Source organism: Homo sapiens, chromosome 19 (genome assembly GCF_000001405.40).
Source record: "Homo sapiens chromosome 19, GRCh38.p14 Primary Assembly".
NCBI lineage: Eukaryota > Metazoa > Chordata > Mammalia > Primates > Hominidae > Homo > Homo sapiens.
In genome coordinates this window covers 8,047,040-8,067,884 of record NC_000019.10, presented here as the reverse complement: position 1 = coordinate 8,067,884, position 20,845 = coordinate 8,047,040, and the positions used below count along the sequence as shown (strand labels likewise).

Genomic DNA, 20,845 nt, shown 5'->3' with positions numbered 1-20,845 from the left:
CACCAGGTTACTCAGGCTGGTCTCGAACTCCTGGGCTCAAGCAATCTGTCCACCTTGGCCCTCAGCCAACTTCATGTCTTTTCGTAGCACATCTTGTCACTTTTACATTTTCCATTTATTTGTCTACTATCTGCTTTGCTTTACTAGAAGGTAAACTCCCTGAGGGGAAGGATTTTTATCTGCTCATTGCTAAATCCCCAGTGCCTCAAAGATTGCCAGGAATTCAGTAGGTGCCTAATAAACATATATATATTTTTGAGACAGGGTCTCAGTCTGTTACCCAGGCTGGAGTGCAGAGGTGTGATCACAGCTCACTGCTGCTTCGAACTCCTGGGACCTCCCACATCAGCCTCCTAAGTAGCTGGGACTACAGGTGCACACCAGTACTAATATTTTCACTTCTTGTGGGTGGATGAGGTCTCACTATGTTGCCCATGCTGACCTCAAAATCCTGGCCTTGGCCAGGCACAATGGCTCACGCCTGTAATCCCAGCACTTTGGGAGGCTGAGGTGAGCGGATCACTTGAGGCCAGGAGTTTGAGACCAGCCTGGCCAACATAGTGAAACCCTGTCTCTACTGAAAATACAAAAATTAGCCAGGCATGATGGCAGGCACCTGTAATTCCAGCTACTTGGGAGGCTGAGGCAGGATAATCACTTGAACCCAGGAGGCAGAGGTTGCAGTGAGCCGAGATCGTGTCACTGCACTCCAGCCTGGGCGACAGCAAGACTCCATCTCAAAAAAAAAAAAAAAAGAAAAAGAAGAAGAAACAAAGAAATCCTGTCCTCAAGCAATCCTCCTGCCACAGCCTCCAAAAGTGCTGGGATTATAGGCATGAGCCCCTGTGCCCATCCTATTTTTTTAGATTGAGAGGGTACAGGTTTGTTATTAATAAATGGATATATTGCATGATGAGGCAGTTTGGGCTTCTGCTGATCCCATCATCCAAACAGTGAACATAGTTCCCAATAGGTAGTTTTCCTTTTATTTATTTATTTATTTGTTTTGAGACAGTCTTCCTCTGTTGCCCAGGCTGGAGTGCAGTAGCGTGATCTCAGCTCACTGCAACCTCCACCTCCCGGGTTCAAGCGATTCTCCTGCCTCAGCCTCCCAAGTAGCTGGGACTACAGGCGCCCGCCACCACGCCCAGCTAATTTTTGTATTTTTAGTAGCGACTGGGTTTCACCATATTGGTCAGGATGGTCTCGAACTCCTGACCTTGTGATCCACCCGCCTCGGCCTCCCAAAGTGCTGGGATTACAGGCGTGAGCCACTGCGCCCGGCCTCCCAACTCTTGTCTCCCTCCCTCTCTCCCTGCTCTAGTAGTCCTAGTGTCTGTGCTTCCCATCTTTATGTCCATGGGTATGCAATTTTTAGCTCCCACTTATAACTGAGAACATGCCGTATTTGGTCTTCTGTTTCTGCATTAATTAGCTTAGGATAATGACCTCCAGCTGCATCCACGTTGCTGCAAATGGCATGATTTCATTCCTTTTTATGGCTCTTTCCTTCACTTTAGAGATTGGCCAGAATCTCCTCTTTGGCCACAATCCGAGGACCCCCTACCCACACCACATCCCGATTCTCCTGGGCTCTGACCACACACCTGGCCTTTCTTCCCAGGTGAACCTGGCCACCCTTGACTCCGAGGCCCTGCTGACCTTGGGCCTGAACCTCTCACACCTGGGCCGGGCCGAGCGCATCCTGGAGCTCCGGCCGGCCCTGGAGGGTCTAGAGGGCCGGATCCGCTACGTCATCGTCCGCGGAAACGAGCAAGGTTTCTTTCGCATGCATCACCTCCGTGGCGTCAGCTCCCTGCAGCTGGGGCGGAGGCGGCCGGGGCCTGGAACCTACCGGCTGGAGGTGGTGAGCCACATGGCAGGACCCTGGGGTGTCCAGCCAGAGGGGCAGCCAGGGCCATGGGGCCAGGCCTTGAGGCTGAAGGTGCAGCTGCAGTTGCTTTAGTTGGGAGGAGCCTCAGTGGGCCCCAGCTGTCCAGAGAAGGGGGATTCTGGAACTGGGAAGGACTGATCCCCAGAAGCGATGGCTGACCAGATTGAACCCCGAAACTCAGGAAGAGTGAAATGCTACACGACAACCTCAGGCAAGCCCGGCCTCTGCCTGGGCCTCTGTGCCAGCCCCGGGGGCCCCCCAGTTACTCAGTCTTTCCTGGAGACAGCAAGAAGCTGCAATGTGCAATCCCCCTGCCCCCACAGCCAAGGTCAGGAAGAGGCCCTGTGGTCACCGTGTCTGGCCAATCTCAGGCTTTCACTTCTGTACTGCACTGTGGCTTGCCCTGGCGGGGGGCAGGGGGTTGGCAGGACATGGCAATGGGCAACTGGGGTGGGCACAGGGCTTATTCCTCGGAGTAGAAGGGTGTACAGGGGGCCCAGACTCCACAGTGACTTGCCACATTTGCCCCCCATTTGGAGAATGCTTTTATATCAAAAGTGGAGACGATAATAAAGTTATTTTGGGTTAAGTCTGCCTGCCCTTTGGCAAGTTCTTGAAGTAAGTAGATGCTGCCCTTGGACTGGGCGAGGCAGATCTTGTGCCTGGGGAAGCAGAAGGCCTTATGGGCTCCCCAGAATGGTAATAATGGCTCACGCTTCCTGACCACGTACTACATACCAGACACCATTCGATTTTTTTTTTATTTTTTCTGAGGCAGGGTCTTGCTCTGTTGCCTAGGTTGGAGTGCAGTGGCGCGATCGTGGCTCCCTGTGGTCGCCACTTTCCGGGCTCGAGCAATCCTCCCACCTCAGCCTCTCCCAAGTAGCTGGGACCAAAGGTGCACGCCACCACACCCAGCTAATTTTTTTAAATTTCTTTTTCTTTCTCTTTCTTTTTGAGACAGAGTCTCACCCTGTCACCCAGGCTGGACTGCAGTGGCGCTGTCTTGGATCACTGCAACCTCTGCCTCCCGAGTTCAAGTGATTCTCGTGCCTCAGCCTCTCGAGTAGCTGGGACTACAGATGTGTGCCACCATACCTGGCTAATTTGTGTATTTTTAGTAGAGACGGGGTTTCACCATGTTGTCCAGGCTGGTCTCAAACTCCTGACCTCAGGTGATCGGCCCGCTTCGGCCTCCCAAAGTGCCGGGATTACAGGCATGAGCTACCACACCTGGCCTAACATTTATTTTTCTTAGAGATGGGGATGTCCCTATACTGCCCAGGCTGATCTTGAGCTCCTGGGCTCAAGTGGTCTTACTGCCTTGGCCTCCCAAAGTGCTGGAATTACAGGTGTTAGTATCCAAGTATTTTACCATTATTGACCACTTTGATTGTCACTACAACCTCACGGAATAGATGCTATTACCATCCCCATTTTACAGGGAAAACTGAGGCTCAGAGAAGTTAAACACTTTGGCCAAGGTCAGGCCAGGTTGAAAGTTGGGTGGCCTGGCGGGGTGTGGTGGCTCACACCTGTAATCCCAGCACTTTGGGAGGCTGAGGTGAGCAGATCACCTGAGGTCAGGAGTTTGAGACCAGCCCGGCCAACATGGCGAAACCCCATCTGTACTGAAAATACAAAAAAAAAAAAAAAAAAAAAGCCAGGCGTGGTCGTGGGCGCCTGTAATCCCAGCTACTCAGGAGAGTGAAGCAGGAGAATCGCTTGAACCTAGGAGGTAGAGGTTGCAGTGAGCTGAGATCATGCCACTGCACTCCAGCCTGGGCAACAGAGCAAGACTCCACCAAAAAAAAAAAAAAAAAAAGAGGAGGGGAGGGGAGGGGAGGAAGTTGGGCAGCCAGGTGCAGTGGCTCACGCCTATAACCTCAGTGCTTTGAGAGGCCAAGGAGGCTGGATCACTTGAAGTCAGGAGTTCAAGACCAGCCTGGCCAACTTGGTGAAACCCCATCTCTACTAAAAATACCAAAATTAGCCAGGGGTGGTGGTACGTGCCTGTAATCCCAGTTACTCAGGAGGCTGAGGCAGGAGAATCACTTGAACCCGGGAAGCGGAGGTTGCAGTGAGCGGAGATCGTGCCATTGCACTCCAGCCTGGGCGACACAGCAAGACTCTCTCAAAAAAAAAAAAAAAAAAAGGTGGGCATGTTCCCAGGCCATCAGCCCCCACACCACCATGCATGGTTCCAGGCGGACTCCAATTCGATGGCCAGGGTACTCATTGTGTTAATAAACACACAGTTAGCATGTACTGTGTGCTGTGCGTGTCACACATCACAGTGTCTTTGGTCTCCAACAAAGCGCTATGAGGCAGGCAGTATTATCACCCCCATTTTCCAGGGGGGCAAAATTGAGGCTTAGAGAGCTTGTGGAACCTGTCCGGGTCACCCACATAGTGCGCGGTAGAGCCCGAACACTGAACGTGACTCCGTTTCTTCTGCAACTTCATCCCGGTCCCTGATCCCAAACCACCAGGGTGTCCCCTAAGAGATGATGTGCTTGGTTTTCTTTCTTTCTTTCTTTCTTTTTTTTGAGACAAACTCTCACTCTGTCACCCAGGCTGGAGTGCAGTGGCGTGATCTCGGCTCACTGCAACCTCTGCTTCCCGGGTTCAAACAATTCTCCTGCCTCAGCCTCCCGAGTAGCTGGGATGACAGGTGCCTGCCACCACGCCCGACTAATTTTTGCATTTTTAGTAGAGATGGGGTTTCACCATATTGACCAGGCTGGCCTTGAACTCCTGACTTCAGGTGATCCACCCGCCTTGGTCTCCCAAAGTGCTGGGATGACAGAGTGAGCCACGGTGCCCGGCCCAATGTGCATTGGTTTTCATCCAGATCATTCTCTGTTGTGATGGAAACTGAGGTTGCCAAGGACTGAAGACAGCATCATCGGGTGGTGACTCAGGCCTCCACCTGCAGAATTGTCACTAGCGCCTGGTACCAGAGCTCTGTCCCTGGTCTGGTCCTGGCTTACCAGTGGCCTCCAGGCAGCCTATAAGAGCTTGCAGAGGGCTTCTGTGTCCATCGGCTGGACTCACCACAGCCCTGGAATCTAAGTAGAGCAAGCACAGTGACTCTTATTCTACAGACAAGCTGAGAGGTACCCAGAGAGTCAGCAATTGGTTTAAGGTCACCAGCTGGGAAGTGCATTCTGCAACCAGTGACCAATGCTTGGCCCCTGGAGAGCCGTCTGTTAGGAGAGCTTGGGGTGGCAAAGATCGCATTGGCTTCACCCCAGGGCAGGGCAGCAGCAACTTGCACCTCATCATGAAATGTAACAGGCAAGAAAAAAAAAGAAAAAAGAAATGTAACAGGCAGGAATGACTCCATCACCCCCCAAGGTTTATTTAAAAGTTATAGAAAAGCATAGCCTGGGAGGGGCATCCTTGAACTGACCAGAGTTTTGGAGGGACCCAGAGGGACACACTGGCATGGCCCGGGGTGGACGGCAAGAAACAGAAAGTGAGAGAGGTATCCTAAGTCTTCTCTACAAGAGCCACTGGCTGCCCAGGATTGCTGCTGGTCCCCGGAGCGGCAAAAGGCTTAAAATCAGGCCAACTCCCTCTTTCCAGTTGCCAGACGGGCAGGAGGTGGTGGGGGTGCAGAGGGAGGACCAACTCAGGTGCAGGGATTAAGACTTGACCCAAAAGACAGAGGCGTGGGGACAGCTGGGTCTGTAGGGCGACGGTTTTATCGGAGAAAGATCCGGCCCCTCCTGTGCCGATGGAGCCCAGAAATGAGCCGGCTCACAGTCCTGCAGAAGCAATGAGAGAGGCCGAAGTAAAATTGACGGCTGTAAAATAATAGTAACTATATGCATTTGTCTCTACCTCCAGTCCCTACAGCTCCTAAAACCCTTGTGAATTTCTGAGTAATAGGAGTGCTAGAATCTTTTATGCTAACTTTTTTTTTTTTTTTTTTTTTTGAGACAGTCTCGCTCTGTCGCCAGACTGGAGTGCAGTGGCGCAATCTCGGCTCAATGCAACCTCCGCCTCCAGGACTCAAGCGATTCTCCTGCCTCAGCCTCCCTAGTAGCTGCAACTACAGGCGAGTACCACCATGCCCGGCTAATTTTTGTATTTTTTGTATTTTTGTATTTTTAGTATTTTTGTATTTTGTATTTTTAGTAGCTAATTTTGTATTTTAGAGACAGGGTTTCACCGTGTTAGCCAGGATGGTCTTGATCTCTTGACCTTGTGATCTGCCCACCTCGGCCTCCCAAAGTGCTGGGATTACAGGTGTGAGCCACCGCACCTGGCCTTTTGTGCTAATATTTGGTCTTTGAATTCTGTTTCTGACACAGAGCTCTGGATCCCTTGGAGTGTCCTGGGTAATGGGGACATATTTTATTCTAATGAGGTGACTCTTGGTTGGCTTCTGGGTGGGGGCTGGTCACCAGCAAGACCAAGCCATTGATTAGAAACTTGGAGCTTTTGGTCCCATTCTCCAGGAAGGGGAAGAAGGTTGGCAATGGAGTTAATCATCCTTCACTCCTATGTGATGAAGCTTCTAAAAAATTCCCTGGTTGGCTGGGCATGGTGGCTCACGCCTGTCATCCCAGAACTTTGGGAGGCCAAGGCAGGTGGATCACAAGGTCAGGAGTTTGAGACCAGCCTGGCCAACATAGTGAAACGCCGTCTCTACTAAAAATAAAAACAAATAAACAAAAAAATTGCTGGTGAAGGCCAGGCGTGGTGGCTCACGCCTGTAATCCCAGCACTTTGGACAGTTGAGGTGGGCAGATCACTTGAGGTCAGGAGTTCAAGACCAGCCTGCCCAACATGGCAAAACCCCATCTCTACTAAAAATACAAAAATTAGTCGGCAGTGGTGGTGCATGCCTATGATCCCAGCTACTCAGGAGGCTGAGATAGGAGAATCACCTGAACCCACCCTGGAGGCAGAGGTTGCAGTGAGCTATGATTGCACCATGCACTCCAACCTGGGTGACAGAGTGAGACTCTGTCTCAAAAAAAAAAAAAAAAAAAAATTAGGCCGGGCATGGTGGCTCACACCTGTAATCCCAGCACTTTGGGAGGCTGAGGCTGGTGGATCATGAAGTCAGGAGATCGAGACCATCCTGGCTAACACAGTGAAACCCCGTCTCTACTAAAAATACAAAAAATTAGCCAGGCGTGGTGGCGGGCGCCTGTAGTCCCAGCTACTCCAGAGGCTGAGCCAGGAGAATGGCGTGAACCCGGGAGGCAGAGCTTGCAGTGAGCCGAGATCATGCCACTGCACTCCAGCCTGGGTGACAGAGCAAGACTCCATCTCAAAAAAAAAAAAATCCCTGGTAAGCTGAGGGTACTGGCCTGCAGTCCCAGCTACTCGGGAGGCTGAGGCGGTGAGCTATGTAGTCCTAGCTGCTCAATTAGGCAGTGAGCTACAATTGCGCCACTGCACTCCAGCCTGGCGGAGAGAGTGAGACCTCATCTCTGAAAAAAAGAAAGCCTGAACTATGGGGTTCAGGGTCTTGTGACCATATCCGTGTGTGGGAGGGGTGGTGTACTGCAACTCCACGGGAACAGAAGCTTCTACACTTGAGTCCCTTCCAGTCTTTGCCTACCTAAGCATCTCTTCCATCTGGCTTATTCATCCCTATCCTTTGTAATATCTTTTTATTCTTTTTTCGAGACAGGGTCTCATTTTGTCCCCCAGGCTGAAGTTCCAATGGTATGATCATAGCTCACTGCAACCTCTACCTCCTGGGCTCAAGTAATCCTCTCACCTCAGCCTCCCAAGCAGCTGAAACTACAGGTGCATGCCACCACAACTAGCTAATTTAAATTTGTTTTTTTTTTTCTTGAGACAGGGTCCCGCTATGTTTCCCAGGCTGGTCTCAAACTCCTGGGCTCAATTTTTTTATTATTTATTTATTTATTTAGAGACAGAGTCTCGCTCTTTTGCCCAGGCTGGAGTGCAGTGGCTTGATCTCGGCTTACTTCAAGGCCCGCCTCCCAGGTTCATGCCATTCTCCTGCCTCAGCCTCCAGAGTAACTGGGACTACAGATGCCTGCCACCACGCCCGGCTAATTTTTTGTATTTTTAGTAGAGTTGGGGTTTCACCATGTTAGCCTGGATGGTCTCGATCTCCTGACCTCGTGATCCACCCACCTCCGCCTCCCAAAGTGCTGGGATTACAGGCATGAGCCACCGCGCCCGGCCATCCTGGGCTCAATTGATCCTTCTGCCTCAGCCTCTCAAAGTGCTAGGATTACAGGCGTGAGCCACCATGCCCAGCCCCTTTGTAATCTTTTACAATAAAATGGTAAACACAAGTAGAGCGCTTCCATGAGTCCTGTGAGCTGTTCTATCGAATGATCCAACCAGAGGTGGAAGCCCTGACTTACAGACAATCAGTCAGAAATAAAGTGACAACTTGCTACTTGCAACCAGCATCTGAAATGGGGGCAGTCTTGTGGGACTGAGTCCTTAACCTGTGGATTGTGTCACTACCTCCAGATAGACAATGTCAGCTGGACACAGTGGCTCATGCCTGCAATCCCAGCACTTTGGGGGGCCGAGGTGGGAGAATTGCTTGAGGCCAGAAGTTAGAGACCAGCCTAAGCAACATGACGAAACCCCATCTCTAATAAATATATGAAAATTAGCCAGACGTGGTGATGCATGCCTGTAATCCCAGCTACTTGGGTGGCTGAGGCACAAGAATCGCCTGAACCCTGGAGGCGGAGGTTGCAGTGAGCCGAGATGGCACCACTGCACTCCAGCCTCAGCAACAGAGTGAGACCCTGCCATAAAAAAATATTAATTATATATAATATATATATTTATATATTATATATATTATATATTATATATATTATATATTATATAATATATATTTATATATATTTATATATTATATATAAATATATACATTATATATATTATATATATTATATATTATATATATTTATATATTACATATATGTTTATATATTACATATATTTATATTATATATTTATATATTTATATTATATATTTATATATTTATATTATATATTTATATATTTAGGCTGGGCGCGGTGGCTCACGCCTGTAATCTTAGCACTTTGGGAGGCCAAGGCGGGTGGGTCACGAAGTCAGGAGATCGAGACCATCCTGGCTAACATGGTGAAACCCCGTCTCTACTAAAAATACAAAAAATTAGCCCAGCGTGGTGGCGGGCGCCTGTAGTCCCAGCTACTCGGGAGGCTGAGGCAGGAGAATGGCGTGAACCCGGAAGGTGGAGCTTGCAGTGAGCCAAGATCGCGCCACTGCACTCCAGCCTGGGCAACAGAGTGAGACTCCATCTCAAAAAAAAATAATAATAAATATATATATTTATATATTATATATTATTTATACATTATATATACTTTATATTATATATTATTTATATATTATATATTTATATATTATATATTATTTTTATATATTATATGTATTTATATATTATATATTATTTATATATTATATATAATATATTTACTTATATATATTATATATTTATATATTATATATTTACTTATATATATTATATATATTTATATATTATATATTTACTTATATATTATATATATTTATATATTATATATTTACTTATATATTATATATATTTATATATTATATATTTACTTATATATATTATATATATTTATATATTATATATTTACTTATATATTATATATGTTTATATATTATATATTTACTTATATATATTTTATATGTATATATAGAGAGAGACACACACACACAATGTCAGAATTCAGTAGAATTACAGGACAACCACCCGGTCCCTGCTGGAGAATTGCTGGCTTTGGGGGGCCCTGGAGCTCTTGGGCCACTCCCCTGGGGCTTTACTTTCTCACTTGCTGTGGTGTCTTTGCGCTGAGTCACAGCAGTGGACAGCCACCGAGGACCCTCCCCTGTGAATCTGCGGCACTGACCGCACAACCACCTCTCCTGGGTCCTGGAGGTGAATCTCCTGTCCCAGTGTGAGCCAATCACGAGCCCTCAACCCTCAGCAAAGGTGATGGATGGGAGACAGTCACATGACCAAGAGTCCTTACCTGAATTAGCTGATATCAGGAGGGAGACATTCCTCTTACTGCTGCTGATGGGATTGCTAAACTTGGACGATGATAACTTGGAGTTTCCAGAACTCAACTTCTTTACAGCATGAGGGCCTGCTGGAGAAATGGAGAGAGAAATAAGCAAGAGCTCTGCCATCATCCTTTGAGCTCCTGGATCCAGCTGAGCCTGAAGCTGTTGACTGGTTATTTAAGCCAATGAGTCTCCCATGTGCTTGAGCTTTCCATCTGTACCAGTGGAAAGTGTCCTGATTAAAAGAGCTGGACTGGCTGGGTGCAGTGGCTCATGCCTGTAGTCCCAGCACTTTGGGAGGCCAAGGCAGGTGGATTGCTTGAGTCCAGGGGTTCAAGTCCAGCCTGGGCAACATGGCACAACCTGTCTCTGCAAAATGAAAATAAAAAATTACCCAGGCATGGTGGTGTGTGCCTGTAATCCCAGCTACTTGGGAGGCTGACGTGGGAGGATTGCTTGAGCCCAGGAACACAAGGCTGCAGTGAGATGTGATTGTGCCACTGCACTCCAGCCTGGGTGACAAGAGTAAAACCCTGTCTCAAAATAATAATAATAATAATGAGCTGGAGCCAGGCATGGTGGTTCATGCCTATAATCCCAGTGCTTTGGGAGGCCAAGGCGGGCAGATCATCTGAGGTCAGGAGTTCGAGACCAGCCTGGCCAACATGGTGAAACCCCGTCTCTACTAAAAATACAAAAATTAGCCAGGCGTGGTGGCGTGGGCCTGTGCTCCTGCTACTTAGGGGGCTGAGGCGGGAGAATCGCTTGAATTCAGGAGGCAGAGGTTGCAGTGAGCCGAGATCGTGCCACTGCACTCCAGCCTGGATGACACAGCAAGACTCCATCTCAAAAAATAAAAATAAAAAATAAAATAACAATGAGCTGGATTAGTGGAGCATGCCTGTAGTCCCAGCTACTCAGGAGGCTGAGGTAGGAGGATTGCTTGAGCCTGGGAGGTCAAGGCTTCAGTGAGCTGTGATGGCGCCATTGCACTCCAGCGTGGGTGACACAGTAAGACTCTGTCTCAAAATAATAATAAAAGAGCTGGACTGGTGGCACACACTTGTAATCCCAGCTACTTGGGGAATCTGAAGTGGGAGGATTGCTTGAACCCACAAGTTTGAGGCCGCAGTGAGCTATGATCATGCTACTGCACTCCAGCCTGGGCAACAGAGCAAGACCCCATCTCCAGAAACAAAAACTGGACAATGACTCAATCAGTTGGTCATTCACTTGGTGCCCCACTCACCAGCAACTGGCTTTGTTTGGGGTTCAGGCAGGTGTCAGTATTCTGGTCTCCAATTCCCTCCCTCGGGGTCTGAACCACACATGGGCTTGCAGGCAGGGAGGGCAGGCCCCCTAGATGCCCAGCAGAGGTCTTGCCCACCTTGGAAGGTCTGCGTGTTGTGGTGGAGCTTTGCAAAAACCTTATTTCGAGCATCCAGGAGCTTCATGGCTCTCTGCACCTCCCTGCTTTTGGGGTTCCCACACACCTTCCTGTGTCTCTTGGGGAGGTAGAATCTGTGGTGAGCAGAGGGGGGTGCCCAGGTTAGGGTGTAGGCTGGCAGCAAGGCTGTGTGTGCACCCCACCCCCCCAGCCCCCACGGCCCCACTCACATCGCAGCAGGCAGATTGCAGCTCCCGCTCACCTCCTGGATCCGGTAAGTCCAGGCGCGCCGGAGCACAGCCCACCCAATGGGGTAGTGGTAGGCCAGGCAGCAGTCCTCAAAGACACCTGCAACCACACAGCCGCCCAGATACTCGCACCCTTGCATGTTAACTTGGCAGGGCCAGCCACAGGCAAGGGCACCTGTCTGCATACCTGTCTGCTCATACCACAACCCTTCCAGGCCCGGCAGAGGCTGAGGAACAGCCTTAGGAAAGAAAAAGCCTCCTGGCTCACCCCTTATCCCTGGATATTGGGACAGCCAGAGGTTGGAGAGGACCCTTGGGTCCCGGCTGGGAAGGGTGTGGAACCAGCAAATGAACGGACCAAGGCCACCTCTACTCCTGCTCTGGGGAAAAGGGTGACTCGGAGTGCAGGTGCACTGTGAGGAGGGGCCAACACCACCCCTCCCCAGCCAAGTTCTTCCCTCCTAAAAATGAGCTGATTGGCAGCTCAGCACAGTGGCTCATGCCTGTAAACCCAGCACTTTGGGAGGCTGAGGTGGGTGGATCACCTGAGGTCAGGAGTTTGAGACTAGCCTGGCCAATATGGTGAAACCCCGTCTCTACTAAAAAATATAAAAATTAGGCCGGGCGCGGTGGCTCATGCCTTTAATCCCAGCACTTTGGGAGGCCAAGGTGGGCGGATCACGAGGTCAGGAGATTGAGACCATCCTGGCTAACACGGTGAAACCCCGTCTCTACTAAAAATATAAAAATTAGCCGGGTGTGGTGGTGGGCGCCTGGAGTCCCAGCTACTCGGGAGGCTGAGGCAGGAGAATGGCGTGAACCCGGGAGGCAGAGCTTGCAGTGAGCCGAGATCGCGCCACTGCACTCCAGCCTGGGCGACAGAGTGAGACACCGTCTCAAAACAAAACAAAACAAAAAACAAAAATTAGCCAGGCATGGTGGTGGGCGCCTTTTTTTTTTTTTTTTCCAGAGTCTCACTCTGTCACCCAGGCTGGAGTGCAGTGGCTCAATTTCAGCTCACTGCAACCTCTGCCTCCCGGGTTCAAGCGATTCTCCTGCCTCAGCCTCCCGAGTAGCTGGGATTACAGGCGCCCGCCACCACGACCAGCTAATTTTTGTATTTTTAGTAGAGACGGGGTTTCACCATGTTGGCCAGGATGGTCTTGATCTCTTGACCTTGTGATCCACCCGCCTTGGCCTCTCAAAGTGCTGGGATTACAGGCGTGAGCCACTGTGCCTGGCTGATAGTGGGCGCTTTTAATCCCAGCTACTCTGGAGGCTGAGGCAGGAGAATCACTTGAACCCAGGAGGTGGAGGTTGCAGTGAGCCGAGATCACGCCATTGCACTCCAGCCTGGGCGACAATAGCAAAACTCTGTCTCAATGAAACAAAACAAAACACCAACCAAACAAACAAAAAATTGTTTTAATACAAAGTAAAGAGCTCTCAGTAAATGTCAATGTCTAGACAAGCAGAGATGAAACACACAGATGAATTAGACCTAGTGTTGTCTTCAGGGAGCTCCCGGGAAACTGATCTCTGCAGAAAGGGGGAAGCACAGGCACTGTGGGGGGTGCCCAGAGGAGGAGGAGGTGATGCCAGAAAGTTCTGGGGGGATGAGCAGGTGGAATGAATGAGCCGAGGATGAGCTGATGAGATAGTGGAGGAAGCTGGGGTGCAATTCTCTGCCTAAATGGCCTTTGGAGTTCTCTGCAATCTCACCTCTGCCAGAACTAACCTCCAGAGGCCGAGTCTGAGTCCCTGCAGAGCCCAGCCCAGCAGGAGCAGGGAAAGGGAGGACTCGAGCCCTCCAGGTGTCTCCCAACCGCGGCCTCTGAGGGCAAGGGGCAGCGCATTCTGTTGGAACCTCGGACTGCAGTGCCAGGCAGGTAGTTCCCAAGGCTGGAGGCCAGGATCGAAGGGCTGGGCTGGGCCTGGCTCTGATAGCAAAACAATCAGACCACAGCCCAACCCCCTTCCCAGGCAAAGGCCAAGGACTTGGACCCATCAGACCCAGCCGAGGGGCAGGTGGGTCAGGTGGGGGCAGACAGGGAAGGAGGGTGGGACCCTGGGTCTGCCGCCCAGCCAGGGACCCTGCTTTGGCCAGCTGCTGAAACTCAGAGGATGTAGGACCCAGTGTCAGGGCTCCCGTGGGGACACCCCAGGCCCAGGAATTGTCCTTTGGCGACTGAAATCCTCAAGTGCTTGCTCTGCGGTAGGGAGTGGGGAAGAAGGAAAGAGTTCCCTATTAATAACAGGAACAGTTACTATTGCCGCCGCCAGACATGAGGCCTAGTCTTTTGCAGGCATGAGCTCACTGGACCCTCAAGTCAGAGCCATGCAGTGGGAATTTTAGATTCCCACTTTGCAGCTGAGGAAACGGAGGCTCCTAAAGGTTTAGGAAGCCGGGCACAGTGGCTCAAACCTGTAATCCTAGCACTTTGGGAGGCTGAGGCAGGCGGATCGCCTGAGATCAGGAGATCGAGACTACTCTGGCCAACATAGTGAAACCCCATCTCTACTAAAAAATACAAAAATTAGCCGGGCATGGTACACACGCCTGTAGTCCCAGCTACTTGGGAGGCTGAGGCAGAAGGATCGCTTGAGCCCAGGAGGCGGAGGTTGCAGTGAGCCAAGATCGCGCCACTGCACTCCAGCCAGGGTGACAGAGTGAGACTCTGTCTCAAAAAAAAAAAAAAAAAAATGGTTTAGGAGCAACTAACTCTCAGCTGGACTGCATGGAGGGACCAGGATGGGAATCCACTCTTGTCAGTCTCCAGGGCCCTGATCTCCAACCCCACCCCTGGCTCGGCAGGATTAGGATTCTACAATACATCCCTGGCAGTAACTGGCTTTGCCCACAGCTGGAAGCCACCCTCTGCTCCCTCACATCTTTAGGAGTCTTGCAAAAGACTCCATGGGGCTCTCGAAGAAGGAACTGGGGACTCTCCATCTCCCCGACCCCATCCCAAGAGCTAACCAAACACCAGGAGTTCCTGCATGTCAGGAGCGGGAGAATTCAGTGGAGATGGGATTGGGGAGACTTCCGGAGGAGATAAGAGACAAAAGGGGTGGGGTGGGGGCATGGGGAGAGGGGCACTTGGTGGTAGGCATTGCCGAACACAGTACCTTGGGTGTGGACAGCGGGGGCCCAGGCTCCCAGGAAGCCGGCCACCAGGCAGGCCAGGAGCCACAGGTTCATGCTGCAGGCGGGTCCTCCTCCCTGGGCACCTGGACGAATAACGGGGCCACCTGGGGTCGTGGAGGGAAGTGGTAAGGACTGAGGAAGAGGAGGGGAGTGGGTACTGGGAACATCCCCCCTCTTAAGCCCCAGGCATATGGCAAGGGAAGGAGGTTGTATAAAGTAGGAACAAGTTGTGCTGGAGGGAAAAGCTGTTCATCTCAGTCATGTTCAAGGAAAAGACTCACCGATATCCACTGGGTCAAGGGAGCTGATGCCCGCCGGGCTGTAGGCCAAGCTGTCCCATCTGCAGGACCAACACGCTGAGCTTCACTCTTTATAGACAGAGCCCCACCCAGCCACCCCCTGCCCGCCCTCCTCCCTTCCTCCTCCTCTCCACCTGCACTCTCAGCCTCTGGAATTCTCCCTCTTCTACAGCAAGCTCCAACCTCGACCCACAGGCCCCCTTGCCTCCCCACTCCCCATCCCAGGCCTCCCAGCCAGCACCCCTACTGTCTCCAGAAAGGGCCTTTTCCCCTGTTTCCCTCACCTGCACACACCTGGTGGACACTGGCTGCCTGCGAACAAGGCTCAGACTGCCTTGAGCCCCCAAACAAGCCCTTACCTTCATGCTCCCCCCGCCCTCAAGCCACCTGTTCCCTGGTGGGTCCCCAACTTCACTCCATTTCCCTCTCCTTCCACACCATGGTTAGGTAACTTAGCATGTCACAGAAATCCTCTGGTTGTGATCACAGGCAAATCCATAGAAACAGAAAGTAAATTAGCGGTGGCCACAGGATGGGGGGAGGGGAGAATGAAGGACTGACTGTGAGAGGGTATGGGTTTCCTTTTGTTCTGAAATTAGATGAGAGTGATGGTTACATAACTCTATGAATATAGTCAGCACGGCACAATGGTGCACCTCCCACCGGTGAACAACCCCAACAAGAAAGAAACTCTCTAGGCCAGGCATGGTGGCTCATGTCTGTAAGCCCAACACTTTGGGAGGCCGAGGCCAGAGGATTGCTTGAGCCCAGGAGCTCAAGACCACCCCGGGCAATATAGAGAGACCTGCGTCACTACAAAAATTTTTTAAAAAATTAGCCTGACGTAGTAGTGCATACCTGTAGTCCCAGCCACTCAGGAGGCTGAGGTGTGAGGATTGCTTGAGCCTTGGAGGTTGAGGCTGCAGTGAGCTGTGATCATGCCACTGCACTCCAGCCTGGGCAACAGAGCAAGACCCTGTCTCAAAAAATGGAAAAAAAAACGGTGGCCGGACACAGTGGCTCACACCTGTAATACCAGCACTTTGGGAGGCCGAGGCAGGCGGATCCTCTGAGGTCAGGAGTTCGAGACCAGCCTGGCCAACATGGCAAAACCCCATCTCTACTAAAATTACAAAAATTAGCCGAGTGTGGTGGGGGGGCACCTGTAATTCCAGCTACTCAGGAGGCTGAGGCAGGAGAATCGCTTGAACCCGGGAGGCGGAGGTTGCAGTGAGCCGAGATTGGGCCACTGCATTCCAGCCTGGGCGACAAGAGTGAAACTCTGTCTCAAAAAAAAAAAAAAAAAAAAAAACAAAAGAAAAAGAAAAAATGGAAGAAATGTTTTGTTTTTGGAAGAAAAGCCAGGAGCCCCGGGTAGCCATGCCCTCAGGAAGCAAAGCAACATTCACCGAGAAGGCATGTCTTTTTTTTTTTTCTTCTGAGACGGAGTCTTGCTCTTTTGCCCAGGCTGGAGTGCGGTGGCGCTGTCTCGGCTCACTGCAAGCTCCGTCTCCCGGGTTCACGCCATTCTCCTGCCTCAGCCTCCCGAGTAGCTGGGACTACAGGCTCCCGCCACCACGCCTGGCTAATTTTTTGTATTTTTAGTAGAGACGGGGTTTCACCATGTTAGCCAGGATGGGAGAAGGCATGTCTTCTTTCCCTGGGGCAGCAGGACCCAGCCAGGACACAGGGACTGGGGGAGACACGAGGTGAAGATTAGGGAGGGCGAAAGGAGCGCTGCAGAGGCCGCACAGCTGATTGCTTTAAACTTTTTATCGCCTGCATCCATAGCTACATCTGACCTCTGTGGGTATTTATCACATCCTAAACTCCTTTCTCATTTCTCCCCTTCCACTGGGAGCCCAGAGGCGGCGGCCCCTAGCCTACTTCCCTGTCCCAAACCACATGGCCGGGTGAGTGGGGCTTAGAGGTGGGGCCGGGCCTGGTGGGTGTGGCTTCTAGCCGGGGACGTGACTAGATAAATGACACTTAGAGCCCAGGGGCAGGGCTGGGTGGGCGTGGCTTATGGCTATGGGCGGGGCTTGCTATATGGCTCCGAGTCAGGGGCAGGGCAGAGTGAGTGGGATTTAAGACAGTGGGCGGAGCCTGACAGATGGCGCTTATGGTAAGGGGCCGGGCTTTGTAGGAGGGGCTTAGACTGGGGCGGGGCTTGCACGGTCAGCCCCGCCCCACCAGAGCAGTTAAGACGCGTCGGGGGCAGGTGCTCTCACCCGTCCCGTTGCTGCGGCCAGTGGCAGCCCACGGGCCGGGGCGCTGTTCCAGTTCCTCCGCCTCTTGCTCTGGGTGGGTGAGGCTGGACCAGGACGCGGCTCCGCGTGGCTGCGAGCGTGGGGAAGCGGCGTGGCGGGCTGGGGCCAGCCTCTCCGCTACGGCTCACTGCCCCCTACCTTCCCAACCCGCGGGCCGCGGCCAAGACGGTGTTACCCAGACTTGGGGGAGGTCCCCAACGTGAGTCTCCCTCCCTGCCTCACCCCTCACTGTTTGTCCCGCCGGCAGCCTTCACGGGGAGGAAGGGTTCCCAGTAAGGGGGCCCTCCAGGGACCAGCAAGCACGGAGCACTGGGGTGGGCGCGCTGGGGACCTGGGACCCAGGGGTTGGAGCAAGAAACGGGATGATCCCGGAGTTCTGAGGACCACAGTTGCTTTGAGTAAAGGCCAGACCTTCACAGTCGGGGCTGGACTGGCCTCTTCCACTCCTGCAGCAGCTGGGGGCATTAAGAGTAATCCGCTATCGGCCGGGAGCAGTGGTTCACACTTGTAATCCCAGCACTTTGGGAGGCCGAGGCGGGCGGATCACCTGAGGTCAGGAGTTCGAGATCAGCCTGGCCAACATGGTGAAACCCCATCTCTACTAAAAATACAAAAAAAAAAAAAAAATAGCCGGGCATGGTGGTGCGCACCTGTAATCCCAGCTACTTGGGAGGCTGAGGCAGGAGAATTGCTTGAACCCAGGAAGTGGAAGTTGCAGTGAGCCAAGATCTTGCCATTGCACTCCAGCCTGGGCAACAAGAGCAAAACTCCATCTCATAAAAAAATAAAAGAGCAGTCCGCTATCAGCAAGGGTCCTCTTCTCCGCCAGTGTGAAATCAGCACAGCTGGGGGGAACAAGTGCCCCCCACACCGACTTCTGTTCTGCACCTCTGATGATGGGAGCAGTTGAGGGTGGTCTCCATCCTGTAGCTCAGCCAAATTCAGAGACCAATACCCCAGAGCCTGCAGGGTTGGGTGGGTAGGCAGGTGTCTTTCTAGACAAGCCCAGTTGGTTGCAGTGGCCAGGTGGTGGGCAGGGGCGATGAGATGTTCTGGGAAGCCTGCACCAGCCACCACCACATCTGCCCTACCCAGTGGCAGGCACCTCTAGTGGGATGAAGGATGCTCCTGGGTGCTCACCATTGGCCCAACTGTGCAAAGGAGGAGATTGAGGGTCAGAGAAGCCAAGTTACTTACTTTTTTTGTTGGCCAGGAAAATCTAATTTTTATTTCTTAAATACTGTGAAGAAAAGGACAGTCCCCCAATGGGGAAGCGCCATAGAGCAGATGACTGGGAGGTCATCGGCAAAGGCTCAGGGGCACTGGGAGAACACTATGGGCAGAAGTGGGGGTCCTCCTGTAGTCACTTTTGCATATCAGACCCCAGCTGCCTGCAGCTCTCCTGAACTCTGGTGCCTCCAGGTCCCTGATGAGACTCTTGGCTTCTGATGGGCCCCCACTGCCCTGCATGGTCACGAGTCTTGTAGGGAGCAATCCACACCCCAGGAGCCCCGTCTGCCAGGCCTGGACTCCTGTTGTACCCACAGCTGCCTCTTTTTTTTTTTTTTTTCGAGACAGAGTCTTGCTCTGTTGCCCAGGCTGGAGTGCAGTGGCAGGATCTTGGCTTACTGCAACCTCCACCTCCCGGGTTGAAGCGATTCTCCTGCCTCAGCCTCCCGAGTAGCTGGGACTACAGGCGCCTACCACCATGTCTGGCTAATTTTTGTATTTTTAGGAGAGACTACATTTCACTATGTTGCCCAGGCTGGTCTCGAACTCCTGACCTCAAGTGACCTGCTGGCCTTGGCCTCCCAAAGTGCTGGGATTACAGGCTTGAGCCACCATGCCCAGCCTCCAGTTACCTCTTTTTAAAGAGAATTTGGTTATTTGAAAGATCTTTCTTCTTTTTTATGTAGGCATTTATTTATTGCTATAAACTTCCCTCTTAGAACCACTTTTGCTGCATTCATTGGTTTAGGTATATTGTATGTCCATTTCAGTTTGTCTCAAGTTTTTTGTTGTTGTTGTTTCTGTTTGTTTTATTTTGTTTTTAGAAACATCTCCCTCTATCACCCAGGCTGAGTGCAGTGGCACAATCGTAGCTCACTGCAGCCTCCAACTCAAGTGTTCCTCCCACCTTAGCCTCCCAAATAACTGGGACTACAGGTGAGCATCACCATGCCTGGCTAATTATTTTTATTTTTTGTAGAGATGGGGGGAGCGTCTCACTATGTTGCCCAGGCTGGTCTTGAACTCCTGGCTTCAGGTGATCCTCCTGCCTCAGCCACCAAAGTGTTGGGATTACAGGCGTGAGCCACTGCACCTGGCCTCAAGATATTTTTTAATTTCGTTTTAATTTCTTCTTTGACACATTGGTTGTTTAGGAGAGTGTTGTTGAATTCTCACGTGTGAATTTTCCAGAATTCCTCCTGTTATTGATCTCTAGTTTCGTATCACTGTGGTCAGAAAAGATACTTGATACAATCGCAATCTTACATTTGTTTTTTTGTTGTTGTTGTTGAGACGGAGTCTCACTCTGTTGCCCAGGCTGGAGTGCAGTGGCACCATCTCGGCTCACTGCAAGCTCCACCTCCCGGGTTCACGCCATTCTCCTGCCTCAGCCTCCCAAGTAGCTGGGACTACAGGCGCCCGCCACCACCACACCTGGCTAATTTTTTGTATTTTTAGTAGAGACGGGGTTTCACCATGTTGGTCAGGCTGGTCTCGATCTCCTGACCTCGTCATCCACCCGCCTTGACCTCCCAAAGTGCTGGGATTACAAGTGTGAGCCACCGCACCTGGCAATCTTACATTTGTTCAGGCTTGCTTTGTGGTCTAACATGATCTATCCTGGAGTATGTCCCCTGTGCACTTGAGGAGAATGTGCGTTCCGCTGCTGTCAAATGGAATGTTCTACATATGTCATTAGTTCCATTTGATCTACAGTGCATTTCAAATCCAATGTTTCCTTACTGATTATCTGCCTGGATCTGTTCGTTGCCTTTTTTTTTTTTTTTTTTTTTTTTAGACAGAGTCTCAGTTTGTCCACCAGGCTGGAGTACAGTGATGTTGTTATGGCTCACTGCAGCCTTGAACTCCTGGGCTCCAGCAATCCTCCTGCCTCAGCCTCCCAAGTAGCTGGGACTACAGATATGCACCACCACAACCCACAAATGTATATTTTTAATTTTGTGGCCTGTTGCCCAGGCTGGTGTTCATTGTTGAAAGTGCAGTACTATTCCTGTATTGCAGTTCAGATCTGTTCATATTTCCTTTATATATATTTCCTTTATATATTTAGGTGCTCTGATGTTAGGTGCATATATATATAATTGTTTTATCCTCTTGATGAACTGACCCCTTTTTCATTCTATAATGACCTTCTTCCTCTCATGTTAGAGTTTTGACTTAAAAAATATTTTATCTGATACAAGTACAGCTACCCCTGATCTCTTTCGGTTTTCATTTTCAAAGAATATCTTTTTGCCTCCCTTC

The 20,845-nt window shown here is 51.0% G+C and overlaps 2 protein-coding genes across 20 annotated transcripts in view, besides 2 other annotated features; one reads left to right on the top strand and one right to left on the bottom strand.

The window, feature by feature from the left end:
* Positions 1 to 2,483, top strand: part of FBN3 (fibrillin 3) — an 84,191-nt gene extending 81,708 nt beyond the window's left edge. For all 10 annotated transcript variants that reach the window (NM_032447.5, XM_017027372.2, XM_017027374.3 and 7 more), the window contains one exon: positions 1,625 to 2,483. In NM_032447.5, coding sequence (NP_115823.3) covers positions 1,625 to 1,966 — 342 coding nt within the window. In that variant the 3' untranslated portion in view covers positions 1,967 to 2,483. The remainder of the gene's footprint in view (positions 1 to 1,624) is intronic.
* A 2,751-nt stretch (positions 2,484 to 5,234) lies between these two features.
* Positions 5,235 to 15,544, bottom strand: CCL25 (C-C motif chemokine ligand 25). Of its 10 annotated transcripts, none has more exons than NM_001394637.1 (7): positions 15,365 to 15,544; positions 15,063 to 15,121; positions 14,763 to 14,885; positions 11,616 to 11,733; positions 11,386 to 11,519; positions 9,965 to 10,084; positions 5,235 to 5,667 (listed from the first exon to the last, which is right to left on the bottom strand). In NM_001394637.1, exons 3-7 carry the CDS (start codon positions 14,833 to 14,835, stop codon positions 5,660 to 5,662), a joined length of 453 nt encoding a protein of 150 aa, NP_001381566.1. In that variant the 5' UTR covers positions 14,836 to 14,885; positions 15,063 to 15,121; positions 15,365 to 15,544; the 3' UTR covers positions 5,235 to 5,659. The 10 variants fall into 10 exon arrangements, with proteins under 10 accessions (NP_001381566.1, NP_001381567.1, NP_001381565.1 ...); NM_001394638.1 differs by having other exon boundaries at positions 9,965 to 10,081; NM_001394636.1 differs by having other exon boundaries at positions 15,375 to 15,544.
* Positions 17,123 to 17,182: a silencer, noted in NCBI's record as "silent region_10010". NCBI's record gives its function as "represses an Ori minimal core promoter by ATAC-STARR-seq in GM12878 lymphoblastoid cells {active_cell/tissue: GM12878}" and the evidence as "EXISTENCE:reporter gene assay evidence [ECO:0000049][PMID:35858748]".
* Positions 17,483 to 17,572: a silencer, noted in NCBI's record as "silent region_10009". NCBI's record gives its function as "represses an Ori minimal core promoter by ATAC-STARR-seq in GM12878 lymphoblastoid cells {active_cell/tissue: GM12878}" and the evidence as "EXISTENCE:reporter gene assay evidence [ECO:0000049][PMID:35858748]".

Excerpts from the sequence above, each read along its gene's own strand:
- CCL25 (XM_047439203.1), bottom strand. The coding sequence starts at position 15,445 with ATGAAGGTAAGGGCTTGTTTGGGGGCTCAAGGCAGTCTGAGCCTTGTT. Across the intron at positions 15,122-15,374 it reads AGGCAGCCAGTGTCCACCAG|ATGGGACAGCTTGGCCTACA; the intron begins GTGTGTGCAGGT and ends TTGGTCCTGCAG. Across the intron at positions 11,520-11,615 it reads TGCAATCTGCCTGCTGCGAT|ATTCTACCTCCCCAAGAGAC; the intron begins GTGAGTGGGGCC and ends TGCTCACCACAG.